Source organism: Homo sapiens, chromosome 2 (genome assembly GCF_000001405.40).
Source record: "Homo sapiens chromosome 2, GRCh38.p14 Primary Assembly".
Classification (NCBI taxonomy): domain Eukaryota; kingdom Metazoa; phylum Chordata; class Mammalia; order Primates; family Hominidae; genus Homo; species Homo sapiens.
The window spans coordinates 66,671,027-66,692,183 of record NC_000002.12 but is presented as its reverse complement, the minus strand read 5'-3'; the positions used below and the strand labels follow the sequence as shown (position 1 = coordinate 66,692,183).

General features: G+C 36.9%; 1 long non-coding RNA gene across 1 annotated transcript in view; it reads right to left on the bottom strand.

Moving 5' to 3' along the window:
* Positions 1-21,157, bottom strand: part of LINC01798 (long intergenic non-protein coding RNA 1798) — a 121,559-nt gene that overhangs the window by 3,405 nt on the left and 96,997 nt on the right. Inside the window, exons 3-5 of the long non-coding RNA NR_110156.1 lie at positions 16,954-16,983; positions 16,363-16,426; positions 461-512 (exon numbers count right to left, since the gene is read on the bottom strand). This is a non-coding gene — a long non-coding RNA (long intergenic non-protein coding RNA 1798). The remainder of the gene's footprint in view (positions 1-460; positions 513-16,362; positions 16,427-16,953; positions 16,984-21,157) is intronic.

The following is a 21,157-nucleotide window of genomic DNA, read 5'->3' as shown; positions in this document are numbered from 1 at the left end:
CAATTTAAACTGGCTACCAGCAGTTAATGAAATCCTTGATTTATATTCTAGTTTAGAGATTGATTATATTGTTGCTTTGTAAAACTATTTATATTATGCCATTTTTCAAAGGATGTCTCAATAAAAAAAGCTAAATAAAATATTCAGTCAATTCCCAAAGCAGATTTTGTTTTCTATATTTTAAATGCTGGTGAAAATAATTGATTGTGTGTGTTCCAAGCTTTGTCATTTACATTCCAGAGGTGGCTTTCCTGATGGGAGCCTCGTTTGCATATGCACACTTTCGCACACTTTTGATCCTTGCAGAAACAAATCGCTTTTCTTTATTTCATTATGCCTCCCACCCCCGTAACAAACCCATGTATATTTCACAGACCCCGACTATCAGGACACATAAGTCTTTCTGGCATCTTTTATGTTATGCATTTTTTTCTTAAGGTTGTGGAAAACTGGGACTTACCCCAAAGCCGCAAAGCAGGCAATCACGAAGAGTATTTGGGTAAGAATGCAATCTGAAGAGGAAAAAAAGAAAAATGAGGAAGAATATCAGCAAATAACAGTAAAACTTTCAAATTACTTTTCAAATGGTAATTAGCCAGCAAATAGATTGAAATTTAAATTCTTTTCACATTGTACTTGGTTTGGGTCTCCCAGTCTCTTTATTTATATCACTTTTCCTTGCCTGGCAACATATGTTACCGATTTATTATAGTATTTTTACTGTTAGCAGACAAATCTGAAGGCTAGCTGAGAAGGCTAGCTTCATCTGATGACTTTAACAACAACTGCAGGGCATCCTTGAGGGTGAGCCAATAGGCTCTTTTGAAGCTATAATACTGTTAACCATTTTGATGCTGAAATACTTCTCATAGCCAAAATTGGCTCTGTCTTTTCATGGGCACTCCAGTTTCTACACATAAGAAAGTTAATGTAAATGATTTGTTTTGTAAATATTTCAATAGCCTTCTAAGCACTTTCTTCCATGTGTCTTAAGTTCCCTAAAAGCCATCGGTTTGTTTATTTCCCCTTCTTTTACAGACACTGAAATCTGTGGCACACATTCATAAGTAAACAGCTATCAAACATCAGGTTAAGTTGTCACGTCCCCCTCCCCCATGCCATTAATTCTCTGCTATGCTATTAAAAGAAACAAACATCCTTTAGAATTTAAATGATCATGTTTCTCTGGTATATGTACAGCCTAGAAAAGTAAAGTTCAAGCAAGATTCTTCTTGGCTAAGAATCTGAAATTACTTTCCAAATTAGAGACACCATTAAAATCAAGACCGTTTTAATAGATACGTGACCCTAGCTAAAGGTTTATGCCTTTTAATATGTGCATGTGAAAACGTCTGTTTTAGAATTTTATTTGTTGACTAAAATATTCATTTTAAAGTTAACAAACTTCCATTTTTATGATTTCTAATGTACGTCAGTCCAAATTATCTTGTCGTTTTAATTTAAAATTTTTAGCAACAATTTCTCAATTTAAGTGTCTACGTGGGATTCATTTACAATTTCAGGTACATTTCATAAAACCTCCTTTGAGCATTCATGACTTGAAAATTTAGAAATTAAATCCTGATTACTGGAAGCCAGTATTTCTTGTCTAAAGGATCTGGCTCAGCAACTAAAATTTAACGTAATTTCGATATTGGGAATTCAACCCATAAAAAAACAGATATTCAGTGCAGTACTGGGGGTTCTGACTGTCAAAAATGTCCATTTTTAGGACCTGAAATACACTCTGGATCCCTGGGATCCAGAAGGCACTAAGAGACCATTCAATATGTCCATCCAAACATATCTAACATGAGAGATTCTGTCTACAAATCATAATAATGCCACAGCTCTCCAACGTATTTAAGAATACACAATCATATCTGGTTTTAAGACATTTGCATATAAAATTTGACTTCAAAACAGGTGGTGAAATAACTACATCAATGCAGTCATTCATCTGATTCTCATTTTTATGCAAAGTTCTCAGGTCTTTATCATTTATACTTCAATATACTTTAACAACTCTTATTTTAGCATTTATGACAACGGCCCCAACCACTGCACCAAAAGAATAATAATAATGATTAAATGTTATATTCAGAAATATATAGTTGTATAGTTTCATCCTAGTCTAATTAATGATACTATTTAAGTTGGCCGATAGTTTATATCTGTTATCAGATACTTACAATATGTATTTCTTTTTTGTCCCAGCGTGGCATTGTATGGTGACTGTGGGTAATTTTAGGTCAGAAGTAATTATGATCAAAAGGATTTCAGCTTCAGAAAATGAGGCCAACTTTTTGAAGGCATAAATGCACTCCATTCCAAAAGTGATTATATGTAGGGTTATGAATTCCCAAGTGAGTCAGTGCTAGTCCTGTCATTCTAAATGCCCTAATTAAGACAAGTTAGTTTTTAAATATTATTCTTCTTCGAAAGATGGAGACAATAAGGTTGGAGGGCCAAAAGTTTTCTTTGTCCTCAAAAACATATGTTTTTGAACCAAAATCTAATCTCCAGCAGAGTTTGATCAGCATATTTAGAAGCCTGCCAACTGTGTACACAGGGCTCCGTGCTTTTCTAGAACAGGTCCGCTACTCTGATAATCCAGCTGGCAGTGCCCTTAATAGAGATGCCTTCCCACCCTCCTCTACCTACCACATTCTCTCTCTCTACTCTCTCTTTCACCTTAAAACAGGTGTCTTTTTAATGCCTGAGTCTAAAGATACAGGTTTCTCTGGCTTCTGGCTCCAGCTCTGTCATGATCATTTTTAATAATTGACATGGCCCCTTCTCAAAACCACTCAGATTCTTAGCTGGAATCCCTACTCCACCCAACCTCAACTCTTCCCCGAACCCCATGGGCCATCCCCCTGCTTTCTGTTTTGTTCATCACCTTGGTTTCGTCACCCCCAGCCCCATTTCTGACCTGCTCTTTTTCTGGATCAGACGCAGGGAGGTTGAGAGGTAATGAGAACCAGATGGACATAGTGCAGAAATTGCCCAAATGGGTATGAGAATGTGGGGAGCTGTCAGGCATGGAGAGAAGCTGGAATTTTTCAGCAATAAAATGGGATTTATCGCCACTCTACCACAGTCATTGCCGACAACCGTTTACCTTGACAGAAACCCCATTCCAATAGGCCACGCCGATGCAGATTCTTTTTTCCCAAAGAGTGATGATTGGTATTTGTTCTAAGGCTCAAATGGCCTGCACTAAAGGTGAAGCATTAGGCCAAAGTCCTGTATTCCCCACTGAGGCAAATGAACCTGCTAAAATAAGTTCCTTCCACAATGGCTGTGTAATTGAAACCAGAAAGTGAGAGAATTTGATAAATTGCTTGACCCTGAAGGAATGTTAAGGTCATAAATTTTCATTGCATTTTTTCTCTCCTTTTTTAAATATTTTTATATATTGATTATATTTAGTATCTACCTCAAAATTCAACAAGCTTACAGATCATCGGTTGTGGTCCCAAGGGAAAGCACAGTAAATCATCAATTAAGAGAGCAGGGAGCATTCTCCCCTCATCTTCCAAAGAGAAATGCCAGCTCCTTGGTAGTCCAAGGACAGTTATGGAGGTGTCTCACATCTCAGAATTATTCAACTTAGCACGCAATTTGTCCTGGCATGGACAAAGTAAAATCTACAGAAAAGATGTTTCTCAGAAGGGTGCTGCTATACTTCTATCATTTAAGAATGATGAACTGTTAAGAAACTGGCAATCCATTTGCAGGAATCACACCCACATACCTTTTCTCAGGGTAACCTAAAAATAAGAAAGATTGCATTTTAGCTACAAAGGGTGATCCCCGTTTTTAGGTAAATTGAAAGTGTGCCTGTGTTTGAGCGCGCGAGCACCCATGCTTCTGAATGCTGATTTTGGCAAGTTCACTTTGAAATTATTCAAACTTTTTCTTTTTTGAAATGTCGATTGTCTTAATGTGGTAATAAAGCACAGGTCATAAAAACAGCCCAAGTCACATATTACACAATGTAAAATGGATTCAAATATGAAAGTCATCACGTAATAGAAAATTTCTACACATCTTGCTGGAAGGTTTTACTTGCTTTTCTAAAAAGTGAATGAACTGAGCTTGCCAGCATTTTAATTTAGCTGTATTCTCTACTGATCGCTTATGGTGATATATTATGAAGACATATACTCTCTCAATTGGAAGCAGGTTAAATAATTTCCTGATAGCCAAAACTTCTTGTCCTTGACCATTTTAAAGGACAACATATCTCCTTTGCATTTGTGTGCTAGGTTTGTTAGAACCATTAAAGAAATAAAATCAGAAGTATTTTATCACTAATACCTCACTTTTATGTTCAGGATTTTCAGAATTCTGGAGACCCAAAATGAGATACAGGGTGGAGTTTCTCATTTACCATTAGGAAAATTTCTCTAAATTAAGAAAGTTTCCTGCTGATTTATTTTCAATGACTACTTATCAGCTTAGAATTTGAAACCAATGCTAGTTTTAGGATGCACAGGTATTAATTAAGCCCATGAGTTTTTCCTCAAAACCATCTGAATTGTGTAAGAAAAAGATCATTGATGTTGCTTTCCACAAAGTATTATCAGTAGGGATGAGGCTAAATAATGTCTAGTTTTATATCTCACTTTCTTTTGTTCACAAGTAATTAACGACAGTGTGTATTAAAGGTATTTCCATCTCAAAGTAACTTTTTGTCAAGTAAAGAAGAAGGAAAGAAGTCCCATGAAAGAAAAAAATCTCAAATTTTTGTTACTTGCGAATACAAAGTCAGAATTTTGGAGTAATACGAAGTAGTAAGAAGTGCCAGGGCTGTTAGAAACCTTGGAATCTAGCACCAAAGTACACGACAAGATGATAATTTTCATATGTTATTGCTTATGTGCATATAAATATCCTAATAAGATTTCAACAACATGTCTTCATGTTATAGAGAGGAGATCATGATACACATATGATCAGCCTTTAACCCTGTGTCTTTTTCCAGTGTTAAAATGTGGCTTCCTTCCTCTACCCTCAAAAATTTTGCCGCAAGCCTGTTTCAAACAAACAAAAAATATGTGCCTATGTATATATGTATACATATCTAAGTATAAATAAAATATGAACAGAAAATGGATTCAATCACTGATATTTTTGCAAACTAATGTTCAGCTGATGCAACTCAATTTTATTTTGCATCACATTAGTGTCATAATGGTAATGACCAGCCTTTATTCACTAACAGTTTGAGTCAGCACTTTGAGACATTTTCAAATTAGGTCATACTGCACATTCGTGGCTGACACAAAGGTTGATTAAGAGAGCTGCACAATTGTAAAGTGATGTGGTGTGAGTTGAATTAAGTTCTCTTTGATAGTTACAGGAAAGGTGAGCCACTATAACTAAGCAGAAATAATGTATGGGCTATAGGGGGAGAATATATTTCCACAGAGTGCTTGAAGTAATACTCATTTACAATTTAACAAAGTCCTCTTCTGTTATGGAAGAATTCTATCACGGGACCTGAAAACAAGCAATGAATTACAAAAAGGACACTGGAGGCCTGGTCTCCAGTTCTGTTTCGGTGAAAGTCAGTTTTTGCCTTTATGTCCCTTTTGACCTTCTCAATAAAGACCTTTTTTCCCACTTCTAGACACTGTCTGCTGCTTTTCTGAAAACCATCCTGTGTCACAACCAAACCATTTGACCGTAATGTAACAATTCTGAGGCAAGGCTAAATTGCTGGGCCAGTGAGACCTGGAAGAAGGGGGAAGAAAAAGAGTCTTTTAAAGTAATATTGTTATGGAAAATCTATAAGTTCAACTAAAATTTGAAGGCATAGGATTTTCTTTAATTCACCCAGCACTTCAAATAAATTGTAAAAATGGCTCCTGGAAGGCAAAAGTACTTTTTAATTGAGCTTAAAGAGAACAAAAATAAAAGCTAAAACTCACAATTGTTGGTTTGTTCAAAAAGGGCAAAAATAGTAGTTATTATTAACACTGTATTCACAACATATTGCTCTCTCTATAGAATAAAGAAGCCACAGAAGATTTTCTAAATATACATATATTGACCGGGCCCACTGGGCTCACTCCTGTAATCCTAACACTTTGGGAGGCCGAGGAGGGTGGATCACTTGAGGTCAGTAGTTCGAGACTAGGCTGGCCAACATGGTGAAGCCCCGTCTCTACTAAAAATACAAAAATTATCCGGGCATGGTGCCACACGTCTGTAATCCCAGCTACTCAGGAGGCTGAGGCAGGAGAATCACTTGAACACGGGATGCAAAAGTTGCAGTGAGCTGAGATCGTGCCACTGCACTCCAGCCAGGGCAACAGAGCGAGACTCCATCTCAAAAAAAAAAAAAAAAAAAAAATATATATATATATATTCTTTTTGCACTACATATATGTAGTGCAAGTGGCTTTAAAATCTTAAGGAAACTGGAAAAAAACTTAAATGGTGTATGGCACCTGGACAGAAAGAAAAACTTCTTGGCTAAGCAGCTTTGGTCCTGAGGACGAAAAAGGACTTTGACTTGCGCATGCATTCTGCTTGCTTTCTTTGAAGTGGCTTTCTGAGAGATATACTTCTAGTGTGATAAAATCACATTTTCTTTCATGTGTTTGATGTGTTTATTAAATTTCAGTTTCCCAGGTAGACTTTTCTGCCCTCCACATGTATTCCTGGATTCAGTCCCTGCCCGTGGGCCCATCACAGTGTGCCCTACCATGCCCCCGCAGACAGGTTACCTCCAGTTTATTCTAAATTTCTTTCCAATTACATCTGAATTTTTACATTTTAAACTGAACTTACTTCCTCAGATAAGGATGAGTAGGCAAACTAAGTGGAAGGGTTCAACTGAAAAAGAATTGTATGTGTTGATTTTTTTTTAATTCACCAAATTAGAAATACAAAGTTGTAATAGCCATAATTATTCTCAATATTTATAAGTACATTTATATTCCAGGCCCTGTAATTATGGTTTTCACAAGAATGAAAGAAAAAAACGCCCTTCAAATTTTGGAAGAAATATAAAGAAGAACTCTTTGGAAGGAAGGAAAAAACAAAGGAAGGGAGGGAGGGAAGGAGAGATGAAAGAGAAACAGGGAAGAAAGAAAAAGCAAGAAAGATTGATTTTAGCTCTTTCACTCTCTTCTGACAAAGACTCCCTCGAATCAACCATCCCTGTTGACTGATTTCTGTCCCTCAGCTGTGAAAAACGGCAATCTATGAACATGATATATGAAATGGCTACCTTCAACTTTGCTGTCATTTGTTTTTTGTTACTGCATCCAATCAATATTCATAATAAGCTATAACATGAATCTGGATAACCCCAAGTCCACTTTGTTGTCGCTCCACCCAGATTTGATTATTTAATCACAGTAACAATGGTCATGAGTATCTTCCAATGGAATATTGAATGCCCCAGATTGAAAGGTAGAAATCCCTGGATTCATAGTCTGCCAATTAATCCCTGGAGCAATGGTGGCACTATGTCTCAAGTCCATACGTTTTCATTTTGAATACACTCTTGGTATTTGCAATCACTTAATTTACATTTTCAAAAGGTCACTTGTGGTGCTAGCTGGAATGGATAGTATATTTTATTTATTTTGAGGTAGGCTAATTTGCCTAGCCAGGAAGACACACCTCTTCAGCCAGTAGATGACGTAAATCTGAATCAGCCATAATACCACAATGAATAGGTAAAAGTATTTTTGCTATTTTGTTAAGCAATTATGGGAATACTTGAATTTCTCCAACAGTTTAATTTAGTAGACAAGAACAGCATTCATTGAGAGCTATGTTGATTAATAGTAGGGTTTTTTATTGTTATTTCTGTAGAATTAATACAGCAACATTATGGGGGTGCAACATGACTTTTGATGATCTGACATGCAGTGATTAAATAAGGTTAATCCTCATTTTATATGCTAATAGGATATTTATAATCTCTACAGCATATCCAATTTAATGATTTTATTCTCTGTTGTTTAGAAAATATTTCTTATTAGTAAAAGAGAATATCCTTACATTCACCACAGATGTTAATTTAATTGGGTTTGAGTGCATTGTGTATAATTAGTCCACTTCTCTAATATTTCATCTATAATTACACAATGAACAATGTGTTTAAACTTCATTAAATCTGTAGGTTTAAAAGAAAGTCTTCACAAAAACTGAGCATTCCATTTTCAAGGTTTCCCAAGCCCTACTAACATCCTGATGAAAATAAACTTCAGGCCAGTCTAAGTTCACTGAATGGTGAATGAATACCCAAAGGCTCTGAGACTTTGTAGTCTAAAGTCTAAAGCTAAAAGGAAGTTCCCCTCCAGCTCCGCTTAACCTACTCGATGACAATGTTACTGGCAGTGTTGTTTGGACCAGGCCCAGCTGTCACTGAAGTAGCAGGATAAAAGTCCCCACGTGCTATACTCCCAAGGTCCCTGCAAATGTCAACCTTCAAGCTGGTATTTTGAATGGCAAGGCTATTGGGTTTGAGGTCTGGATTCTCCCCCACCCCACCCTACATTCCCTCCCTCCCCCAGCAGTTAGAGCTCTTTCAGGAAAATTCATTCCAGACAGCAGCCTATGAAGTTTCATCATGAGAACCAACTTTTAACTTTGTTAGCAATTGTGAGTGAGAAGAGAAAGAGGAAAAAGAGAAAGAAAGAGAAACTGGTGTATGATTTTCAGAGTTCCTCTACTGATCTCTGAGTGTGTGTGTTTATATTGCCCATCTTAGCTCAAATGAGGCTATTTACACTATCAGGCTAGTTCATTACAGAATTAAAAAAAAAAGAGATTGCAAGGATGAAAGAAAAATGGATTATGAGGTTTTAGCTGAGTTTTTCCAAAGGCTATAATAGCACTCCATTGTCAGTGCTATACAGCTCAGGAGAGTTCGCCAAGATCAACAACATATCCACACGGCCCTTTCAGTTCAACTTCTCTTGTATTCCTAAAATGTCCACCCTGTAAAGACCTTGACTAGTTCTTACTTTCTCATTTCACCTTCAAACAGGTTTGCTTCACTTCAACCAAAAAGAGAACCTTGCCAAAGTGACTATTATGACTCAACAGCCTACCCACTGGCCAACAGGCAAAGACCCCTCAAGACGTCAAGCAGAATCTCTTATCTTTCAAACTAATAACCTAGAAATAATTTTTTTAAAGCAGTTGGTCCTGGCATTAGTCAGGAAAAACAGAATCACTACCAAGTAGTTCAACCTAGAGATTTAATCTAGGGAGGTAGTTACAAAAGTGTTGGAAGAACTGAAAGTCCAAATGGGGATGATGAGATCAACAAGAGTTTGGCAAAGACGTAAAGCCACTGCCACCCCTTGACTAGAAGGACAAAGAGAAGAAGGCAGGTCTGAGACCTCAGGGGAGAGGTAGGCATTGCAGAAGCACTTTCAATGCAGGTGGGAGAGTGGGAGAATGGCTATCCTAGCCTCTCTCCTACTCCCTAAAAAAGCATCTCCCTTTGCAGAGCCTTTGTGGAAGCCAGATGGTAATGTACTTTGCAGGGTTAAGCCGCCTGGAAGACAAAAGAGCAAGGAAAGGATGAGAGTGAGTCTGAGAGTAAACAGATAAATGACCGGCACAGCCCTTCTCAACAGCCGTAAGACTTTCGTGTGAAGATAAAATTCCAAACAACCCCCCATGTGACTACAGTAGAAGGAAATTGATATTTATTTTGGTTTCAAATTACTAAGGTGTTATACCTAGGAACCCCAGGTAGGAAAATGGCTATCATGTTGAGAATAAACATTTAAGCAAGCCCAATATATTTTAGCTGCATGGATTAAAAAAAAATACAAGTGCTTACAAAGTTGAGGCCACACTTACTCTCAAACCCTGAAGTTGTTTATAAGGGTAATGTGTCCTTTCCTACACCAGTGGCCCACAGGCAGCAGAGTGAGACACAAATAGGAGGTCAATCTTCACTTCAAATTTTCTGGCTTACATAGATTTTGTTACAGCCCAAATTTTGCTGGGACAAGGGTGGAAGGTTTTGTCCAGGGAAGCACTGCTGTGCCCTGACTGAACAGCAATGCACACTTTGTGCTCCCTACTCACTGTCCTGCTGCCACAAAGCCAAATCAACTATTTTTTAATATTTTTTCTACTGTCCCCATACCCTAAAGCTATTCTTCCTGGATACCAGCTAACAAGAATGGAGTTTATTGTTTGCACTCAGGAATAATGCCACCTATATCCTTGAATCCTCATCACAAGTACACTTTTTAAGGCTAAACATTTTATCTTCTTACTACTCTATTTTCAGCCGTATCACTTGCCTGTTAAAATGCATGGTGTAGTTAACAAAGATTTGCATTTGGTCCTCCAAAATGAAGATTTTATAAGTTGCCTTTTTTTTTTCCTCCTGACCAGAACCCATATTACTTGGAAAGGGAAAGGCCAAAGGGAAATTATTGCTATTTTAGACAGCAGCATAAATTTTCTTCCTATTTTTAACCTAGCTTTTAATTTAATAAGTTTTATGACCCTTATATTAAGTACATATGTTTTACAAGACACTGTGTCCCTTGAGTCACCCTGAATTTGCTCTACTGTACCAGAGTTAAATAAATGAATATTGTGTTTCTGCTTTTACTTCACCTTGTATTTGATCCTTTTAATATGCCTGGTAAACCTTCATAAAGGAGAGAGAAACAACACAACTCAGAAGTCATCTAAAGCCAAGCATATAATGTTTTAAATAAAATTAATGAAAGTATCTCTTTATAATATTTTAAATTTCAGATTTCTGTCCCACTGGTTTTTATAATAAATAATTAAGGATATACAAAATATTGGAAATTGTCTCATCTCCCAAATTGGCAACTAATAATACAAACACTTTTTTATGCTCATTCCATTGCCCTGTGCAAAGGTATTTTTTCCTCAAATTAAAGCTTCAACATAGAAAACAACCATTTTTCTTTGGAAATATAAAGTGACATAAATTTTTTTAAGACAATTTCTCACTTTGTTGCTCATGCTGGGATGCAGTTGGGTCATCTCTGCTCACCTCACTGCACCCTCAACCTCCCGGGCTCAGGTGATCCTCCTAACTCAGCCTCCTGAGTAGCTGGGACTACAGTTGCATGCCACCACACCCAGCTAATTTTTGTATTCTTTGTACAGATGAGGTTTTGCCATGTTGTCTAGGCTGGTCTCAAACTCCTGGGCTCAAGTGATTTTCCTTCCTCATCCTCCCAACTGCTGGGATTATAGCTGTGAGCTGCCAGGCTCAGCTGACATTAACTTTCTTATAAAGATATTCTATCATCATGTGTTCATGGTCATTTAAAAATTAGTTTAGTGCCATGTAAACATAAAGAGGGCTGCACCAATCCTGAAAGAAAAGATTATTTGAACAACTCTATGGTTATTTAAGAATAAAATGTTGAGTTTATAGCAGAATGGAGAAAATCACCTATAGAGTCGATATAAAGAGATAAGTTTTCCTTTGAGTTTACAGGGGAGAGATAAGGGTGAGCAGGAGCAGAGGCTTGACTTGACTCAAAGTTCTGTGTTTAAATAGTGCAATATGTAGCAATTTTGCAATTGTGACAAAACTTGCTTTTTAATTATTAAGATATAGCAGATTTTTACATCCTACCAGAGTACAGTAACTATTGATTCAAGCTGAATATTCAACTAGAAACTCTTTAGAATGTAAGGATTTGCTCTGAAATGTGTTTTATAAATTTGCTGCTTCAATTCTGATTTTTAAAAATGGCTTCCCTATGCATGCCAACGTTTAGTAAATCAATAGGCCACTAAAAGTTCACTTTTGGTCAACGGATTAGGGTGGCACAAACTCAAGATGGAAAAGTGAGCCTTTATCCCACAATTTCAGATTGTGTGCCAGACTATCTAACTATGTATACTTAAGTTTTATAATGTATAAAATTCAATTGAAGAAGCCATTAATTTCTTTCCTATTCATTTTGTTTGCTTTTGTCCTACTTCAGTGACTTGGAAGGACATGACCTTAGAATATAACTGGTTATTCAGTAGAATCTCCTTCAAACATCTACATAAGAATTGATGTTTATTTCATAACCATGGGCTCCAAAATTGATATGTTGCCCTGTGATTTTATTGTTAGAGGAAACCATTATTTTCAAAAGGAAAAAAAAAGAATCTCAGCCTTTCTATATTTCACTTCAAGACTGAGTGACCAAAATATTAGACATGTTTGAAAACTCTTTGAATATTTGGCACCTTGTAGGTTATTTGCCTTTAAAAGGTCTTTTGTTTTGTTTTTAAAAATAATGTAAAAGTCCATAGTCTCTAGAAACTCTTGGTTAGTCAAACCAAATAAGTTATAGCCCCACTGCTGAGGAATACAGTTTAGGATGGAATGTTGGCATTAGGCTCCAGGAAAACAAGGGCTGGCCATTTTAGCCCTTCATAGAGAACTCCTGGTCACCTCCCAAGGGGCAAATTGATGTCAAGTTCTGCTGTCTGTCAGGATTAAGTGCCTGTTTGCTTTTTCACTAACATGTGGTTTGAGAACAAAGCAGCTCAAATCTCCTCAGTCCCTAACAAAGCATCTCAAATTGCTGAGTAAAATTCCTTAATCCCCCATCTTAATCTGAAAACACCAGCAGCGCGGGGTAGAACACTGTGGTCTCTTTTTGTACTGCTCTCCACCCCACCCACCCCCACCTTCCTTCCCCATCCCTGACCACCTCCTCCTCACCACCACCATGAACATGTGCATTTGGCTCCTCCAGTAAATGGTTCTTCAACAGAATATTATCAAACAGGAAATTCAGGTAACTTGGTCCAAAATCATGATGGTTCTAGTGATATTTATTCCTTATCAACTTCATTCATTTTAAGAGTAAAGGGAAAACATAAAGACCAGACAGAGGGATTAATGGACTACCTTCATATAACCTTGAAGGTCATGTGTATACAAATAGTCTAAGTGTCATAAGTTTTAATGGACAGGTTTTAACTGCTTCTTTGTAATATTCGTCAGCTCTCGGTTGGAAGCCAAGAGGATATGGAGATTTTGAATACAAATTTAGAATATTTTTACTAAGGTAAGAGAAGGAAGCAAAACTAACTTTAATGATTGAAACTATGAAATGACCTTTGGTAACATCAGCAAAGGAATCAGTGGTTGGAAAATATTTTCCATTATTTGCATATGTTCATTACATATTAAGGGTCAAGACTTTATCCATTGACTTGAGTGGAAAGGCTCCAACATGTTGCTGCCTTAATTTGCAAAATGTTGAACTCTGCAAGGTGAATTATATAAAACCTTACTTTCTCTCAAAATAAAAAGGCATTCCTTATGATTTTAATACTTTATAATATCTTTCCTTACCAATTTTAGTTGAAAATCGTATTGGTAGATTTTTCTTGAGGGGATTTTTTGGGGGCAGTTCCCAAATTAAGTTCTGATTTAAGAAAGCTGAAACTCATGACAGTTATCTTTTTTCGATTTTTCTATAACAAAGTTGAATAAGATTTGCCATAATAAATAAGTAAAATCAGAAAACTCTACTCCTGCACTCTAAAAATTTTATTCAATTGAATGCCACTTTAAAAACAGATACTGATCTAGTAGGCTCTTGCTGTTTTCTCACTCTTTCACAATTTCCCCCCCTACCTGAAACAAGTGAAGTGAATAAAACCCAATTCCCCAGTAATCCTGGACTCTCTTTCAGTATGTGTATCTCTGAGAAATGGTAATAAAGCTCCACAGAGAATGTAAAAGATAGAAAAGCTAAAACTTCCCACCACCTATGAAAACAGCACCTGTGCTATATTTAATAGCATCACTTTCCCCATTTTTCTTCTTGGCATTTTTACTTTCCACAGGGTTGGGTGAAGGAAAAGAGCCGAAGGAGAGGGAGGTGTGTGCAAACATACTAGTTCCAGCCGAAGCCCTTATTGACAACTCTCTCTGAGACTTTTAACTTCTATTTTAAAAATAAAGTAATTGCAATTCAGGTAAAACATCACATTTTTCTCAGTAGATTTATTTATGCTTGTAAAAATCCCATTTAAATAGTGGAAAAATCCCCCCTCCCAATTCAGAAATGATTATCTTTTACAAATGTCAGCTTTTTAAACTCACCACTTTAATATCAGAAAAATTGAAAATCTGGGCAGCTGCTACAGCTCCTAATCCATAAATCCTCAACATGAACCTCTCCACCCCAAACCCACGATTGAAGGCAATACCCTAGGATGACCTAAATAGAGCCATAATCCCAGAAAGGCTTCATGGTTCAATAGGAAGTACATGGACTATAGCCAAACTATCTATGTTTGAGTCCCAGTTCTTCTTTTTCCTGACTGTGTGACCTTGGGAAAATCACCTAACCTTTCTGTGCCTAAATTTTCCTGCAAAATGAGGATAGTGTTTGTACCTAATTCTTGTGAAAAATAAATGAGTTAATATTTGTGAAATACAATACTGTCTGATGTTGAGTACATGCTATCAATATACCAATGTTTGATTTTTAAAAAAATTTACACCATTCCAAGTTAGTTTAAAAATAAGATCTTTCCCCCCCAACTTTGTTGAAAGAAAAAGTACTTTATATCTTAAGCTGACAGCAGGGGAAGAAAAGAGATAACATGTAACATGATAAGAGAAGATTTTGTTTGAAGAATATGCATGACAAAAAAATTGCAAGTAAGTGAAAAACATGAAAAGTATATCATTAAGGGTTCAAAACATTTGGAAAAGAATATGATGTGTTTCATGTCTTAATAGCCAATCTTAGTCATAACCAGTAATTCTTTGAGAACTCTTGATTATTCTAGACAAGTTATTTTGCTAAATAAACTGTTGGATATTTAGGGTACATCTACCTTGGCAAATATTTATTACTAAAAGTTGGATTTGAACAGATAAATACCATATTTTGGAACATCTTAATGACCTGAGTTGAGATCCCAAAACAAATATTTTAGCAGCACATATATATACATATTTTTTATAACTAATGAACATGCTCATTTTAAAGATTAAAAATATCGGCTTCTGGGTGAATGTGTTCTAAAAGGTTCTATAAAGTTTTTTACAAGATTTCTCATATATCCTTCCAGGTGTCATTTAAAGCAGAATTCCTAGTTGCCCCATTGAAATAGTCATAAAAATGTTTTCCTTCATTCATTCTTTCAGCAAGTTTTCATTGACAACATACCTGTGCTAAGCCCAAGGTTAGTTACAGTTATGCTGCAGTGAACGAAACAGACATGATCTATGCCTAAAAGGGTATGGTTGACAAAGATTTCCTGCTGGCTTATGTACACCCATATAAAAATGGTGGAAAATCTTTTGTCCTAGTCTTGCAGCCTGGATGTGTTTTCTCAGCTTCTTCAAAAAATAGGGATATATAAGTATATCAAATCATCACATGGAAGATCTTAAATTTATACAATTTTATTGGTCAATTATACCTCATTAAAGCTTGTGGGGGAAGAACAGGAGTTATATTGACTGTGCAACACAATCTGAGAATAATCAAGACAAATTAAGGGGTCTGGGTAATGTTTCAAAACATTAATCTCACTTTAGTATAGGCAAGATTCCCAAAGCTAAGCTTGAGTGAAAAACAAGGAGAAGGTCCTTTAATATAGGTCAACTTTATCAAGAGTTAGAAAGAAAGCTATAGCGGGCCCATGGGTCATGTCAGCTTAGCATCTCGTTGGTCATGGTATCATGAGAGTTTCTGTAAAGAGTAAGATTTGAAACGGGGATGTTACGAACTGTGCAAGGACTACCATTGCACAGCAACAGTATTTAAAATGTTTGGAAGAAACTCAAAACTTTCTGCAGACCATAACTCTTTAACACAAGTCATAACACAACTGAAATTCTTAGACTTTCTCTAGTCGTATACTCATGAGGCCAGAGCCAAAGGTTCAATTCTCATGCTCACTGGTTTCACCGTATCTTACAAGAATAACTGATTCCAAACTAGAAATCTCACTTAAATCAATACATAATTATATACATTCTTATATACAGACATACACACAAATGTAGAAAAAACATTACGAATTATTCAAATGATTATTAGTAATAGTCACCCATATCTGATCAAAATATCTACATATGATATCATTCATAACTATTGAGTTCCCAAACTTCAGATAGCATGAAAATTACCTGGAAGGCTTGTTAAAACACCAACTTCTGGGGCCACCTCCTGAATTTCTGATTCAGCAGGCCTGGTGTGGGGCCTGAGAATTTGCATGTCTAACAAGTTCCCAGGGGATACTGTTCCTGCTGTTCAGAGAACCACTTTGAGAACTACTGACATGTCAATGCCATTTTGCCTGAATGATGAAAGTCTGGGGGTGATTTGATACCTCTCTGTTCCAGTGTGTTCAATTTGACTCTGGGAAGATGGTAAACAGCTGTTCTTTCTCCTCACTAGAGAGAAGAGAGAAAATAGAATTAACCTGCAGCCAAATGATTTATGTTTGCTCTAGAGGGGAAACATCCTTACATAAGGGTTATTAAGAACTATGATGGCCTTAGAGAGTTACTAAGAGAAAGTGTTTGTTACCTACCTCCCCGGAGGTTTTTAAGAGTTTCCAGGTCTTACTTGAATAGAGGGGAAGAAGAGAGAGAACACAAGGCACACCGTACTTTCAGGTGGGCCCAGACCCATTTCTCTACCTTTTGGTGGACTGAGGTAATTATTTTACCTTCTTTTGTTCCTCATTTGGAGTGATAAGAAATTTTTCCCCTGTCTTCCCTTACCGCAGAGAGTGTTTCAGATTTACATCAGATGGAAATAGTTTAACGTATACTCTTTCCTCAAGACAGAAGAACAGATCAGCCAGGGCATCTTGGCTTCTGACTTTCTGCTCCCCATGCTAGAAGGAACCAGATTAAGAGCTTCACATCTATCTCCTTTGAGGAAAAAGCCCAGACATCAACTCAGGAAAACTTACCAGAAGTCTGCTTTCAACATGGGTCCAGAGCTTCCAGGAGAATGAAAACAGATTTGGTTAGTAGCCAACACAACAAATTTTCCGCAGGTTAAACTCTTTAATCTCAGCTCTTTGCCTGCTCAGAATACAAGACCAGTCACAATCTACAACTCATTCTTCCCCTTCATTCACTAGACATCTGAATTTTTCCAGGGTTCCCATCATGGAATTTGAAAAACTGACACTCACACTCCCATCTGCTGCAAGAGCTCAGACTCTGGCAGCTGAAAGAGCTGAGCTCACAGCCCCTTTCACTGTTTCCCACCTGTGTACCTTCAGCAAGTTAGTCCCTCTGTTCTTCCTCTGTAAAATGGATCAATTATATCTACTACGCTGGGCTTCCTTGGTGACTAAATGAGATGCAGTGTGAAGAGGATGTAGCCCAATGCCTGCTCCACAGAAGGGGCTCAACAAATGTTAGGATTTTTACTCTTCTTAAAACCCAGTCCCTGAAGCCTCTTAAGTCTAATCAACATTTGTTACAAAGACAATTTTGTATTTAAATATGTAGATTTTGTCTATCTCAGATCTTCTCCAAGGTCAATGCAACTTTGCATCACTGAGTGCCTCTGGATTTCCACTGATCTATACAATAGGAAAATCCTCTCTTGCACTGGTATATTAATAGGCAAAATTGTTTTGCAGGCAGTTACACAATTAATTCCCAATCAACATTTCCTTTGGAGCCCATTATTTCCTTTAATATATGTAGTGAGAAAATGGAGAAATATCTTTGGAATCAACACTGATATTCAGATTTCTCTGCTTTGTTGAAAACAGCAAATAATAAGCCTTAACTATTTACAAATTTGGAATTATTCTGATTGTAACTAAAAAAAGCGAATAGTTATAAAATGGAAATAATATGATTCTCTATCTCAAAGCATCACTGAGGATGAAATGTGATGATGCATGCAAAATAGCAGAGTTGATAGTATGTAGTTATCTGTAATTATTGTTATTAGTATGATAGTTTTCATATTTGAGGATGAAAGTCTTCTTCAGATCTAAAAATCAATGCTTAGAAGTAATTTAATCCTGAGGAAAAGTCTGTTTCTTTCCCTAACTCTGTGCACACTACCTTTATAGACTGATAACCAGAGCCTGTGCAACCTCATCCACAGAAAATCTCTACTTGTGCTGTAACTTTCTTTTTTTTATTACTCTGTAGGAGTAGGTGTTTATGGTAAATCTCTGAGTACATTTCTTTCATAATTGAATTCTGTATTTTACATCCTCCCCTTCCAGCCCATATTTGTGGAAAATGTGCATGGAGTCATAGTCATTTAGAACTGAAGCTACCCTAGAGAACTTCTAATCTGTTCACATTGTTTCGCAGATGAGAAGACTGAGGTTCAAAAATGCTGGGTGATGTTCCAAAGCCCCTAAACCTATACTGTCAGCTTAAGAACTCAGGCCTCCTCCTTCCCATCCCAGAAAATAGGGAATTAGTGCTAAGAAAAACTAATTCAAGGTTTTGAATATCTGTTGCGTAGAGTGTGTTTTTATTCTCATATTTCCAAGAATTCTTGTATTTGTGACAGAAACCAACTTTAGCAAAGTTCAGCAGAGCAGGGCTGCACAGGCTCACATAATATAACCCCAGGCTGTGTAAAAATTCAGGGCACAAGACCAGGTCTTGCTATTGGTCTCTTGGCTCTTTGTAGGTTGACTCATTTTCTCAGGCTGGCCTCCTCTACAAAGCCACCTTAGTATAGGAAAAGAATTACAACAATTAGGGCAATGTCCTACTGAGCATGACAGCGACCCACTCACATGAGCATAACTAAACAGAAGTTTTATTTTTCTCATAACAAGAATTCTGAAACAGAGTAGACCAAGGCTGGTACAGCTACTTGAGCCAGTTATCAATTATCCAGGGTCCTGTCGATTCCTACTCCATTGTTCTTAGCAGGCTTAAGCCTAGTCCATGGTGTGCAAGTTTCAGGCAGAAAATGGAAGAAGATTAAGTGCAAAAGTCACTTGTCAGCTGAGTCTTTTGTCAGGACACCAATATCATTCCAGAAGCCCTACACTGCAGACTTCCATTTGAATCACATTGGCCAGAAATGGGAACGTGAATACATTTGGCTCCAGTAGAATGTGAGGAGATGAATATTTTCAAATGGAAACACTGCCACAATTTTTTTAATGGGATTTTCTTCACAGGGGAAAAGGAAAGAATGGATGTTGGGTAGGTAACTGGTCTTCTCTATTATTTCCAACCAGACAAATCCTGAAAAGAGCCATTAATTGGCTCTCTTAGTCCCCGCACACACTCTTGTGGCCAGGACAGTGGGCTATTATGATTCACAGACCCAACCAGAACCACAAGCAGGTTAGGAGGAGAGGGGTCTAAACTAAGGAGGAAGGACAATAGTCAGATAAAGAAACAGGGTGCTCAGCAGGCTAGATAATAAATATGACAGTCCAAATTGCATAAAGTAAAAGTATAAGCCAAGGATTTGCTCAATGTTTAAAATACTGATTGGGATCTTGAATTGTAAAAAGCATCAGGAATTTCATCTGATGAAGTTCACCACATATTCCAAAGCCATAGGAACCTTGCAGTAAAAGGCAGAGTCCAAATGTGAAATATGTGAGATTGCATACCCATGTGTCAGGTGCATCATTTTATAGCCTATGGGTGAGTAATAGGCCAAGGCTAGGTATCTGCTGCCTCATCTAGTGATACTGTCTTCAATCAAGTTAATTAAATTAATATGGCCTGCACTAATGAAAACTGTAAAAACCTATTTTGGTCTCTATCAGCACATACATTTTGATAATTTAGTCCTGCCATACTTGTTTGCCTGTCAATACCAAATTCAATCCTCATAATATCAGGGTAATTTTAAGCATTTTCTATAAAAAACTAACAAAGAAATGACTTGTGAAGTAAATTTCATTTCAGGTGAGCAGCAAACCAAATCAAGAATTAGAGATTCATGATGGCTTTATGGATGCTTCCAGTTTTATTCACCTGCCCCTCTTTCTTAACATATATTCTTCTTCGACATGTTTTCTAAATGATTAGCCACCTGAGAAAATATTTAAATGACCATATCATAAGGTAAAAGATTTATGGCCTAAATTACATTAAACAAATTCAATATGCTGTGCATATGGAAATGAGAAGCTTTCAGATTATATTTTAGCCATTAAAATATGCCTTAAAATATTTAGTTTCTGTTTGCAACAGTACAATTTCCTTTTCCCTGTTCAACTAATGGCAGATTCTCTGAGTAACCAAGTGAAAACAAATGACTTAGTCCTTGGTTCAGAAAAATAATGGGTTACTAGCATAATTAATTTTATGTTTAATTACTGTAGAATGAAACAATTCAACAATATCCAATCAATCCTTAGAATGACAGAACAGAAGGTCAGCAGTTGCTAAGTCAATTGTTTTGAAAGAGAAATTTATATCAGGTTCTCTTTTATGTGCTACGGAAAGAAATTGGAAAAAAGTGGTCAAGCAAACATTAATTAATTGTATAAATAAAATCCAGTTGTCACACTAAATCAAAGAGGCAGGATACAGTTCTCAGAATGGTAGATATGCATCAACGGGAAATTTCAGTGACATGCTAAACCTCACCCACTTCCATTTCATGCACAATCAAAAGGCTTAGGGTAAAATATTAACATCCCTAGAATTATTTTCTTAAGTTTGAGTTGACAACTCCTTGAAAAGGTATGGATGGTTCCAGTCCATTTCCTTTTATGCCCACCCATCAGCATGAAGGGCTGGGCCTAACTGACCGCCCCTTCCCCTCTGCCTCCCCCATCCCATTCCTTGTTGTCCCATTAATAGCAAGAAAGAGAGCCCAAATTATTTCACAAAGCGATTCTTCTGGTTGGAGAAGTAACACTCGATGTGGAGAGTAAGACTCGTAGATACAGAAAGAAGTCCGCATTACCTTTTGACATTTAAAGAGTTAATTACCCAGGATTTCCTCCTAGCTATAGATTTCCCCAGCATTTAATGCATTTAAATACTCTGCTTATTTGACTAAGAAAATTTTAGTTTTTTATCTGCTGTAACTAAGGTACCTATATCAATACAACTGTATACTTGCCCCAGGACAATCCCTTCTGCCCCTATTATAATCCTTTTGGGACATGCCTCCGGAGTATGAAGTAGCAGTCACTCCGCAAGCAT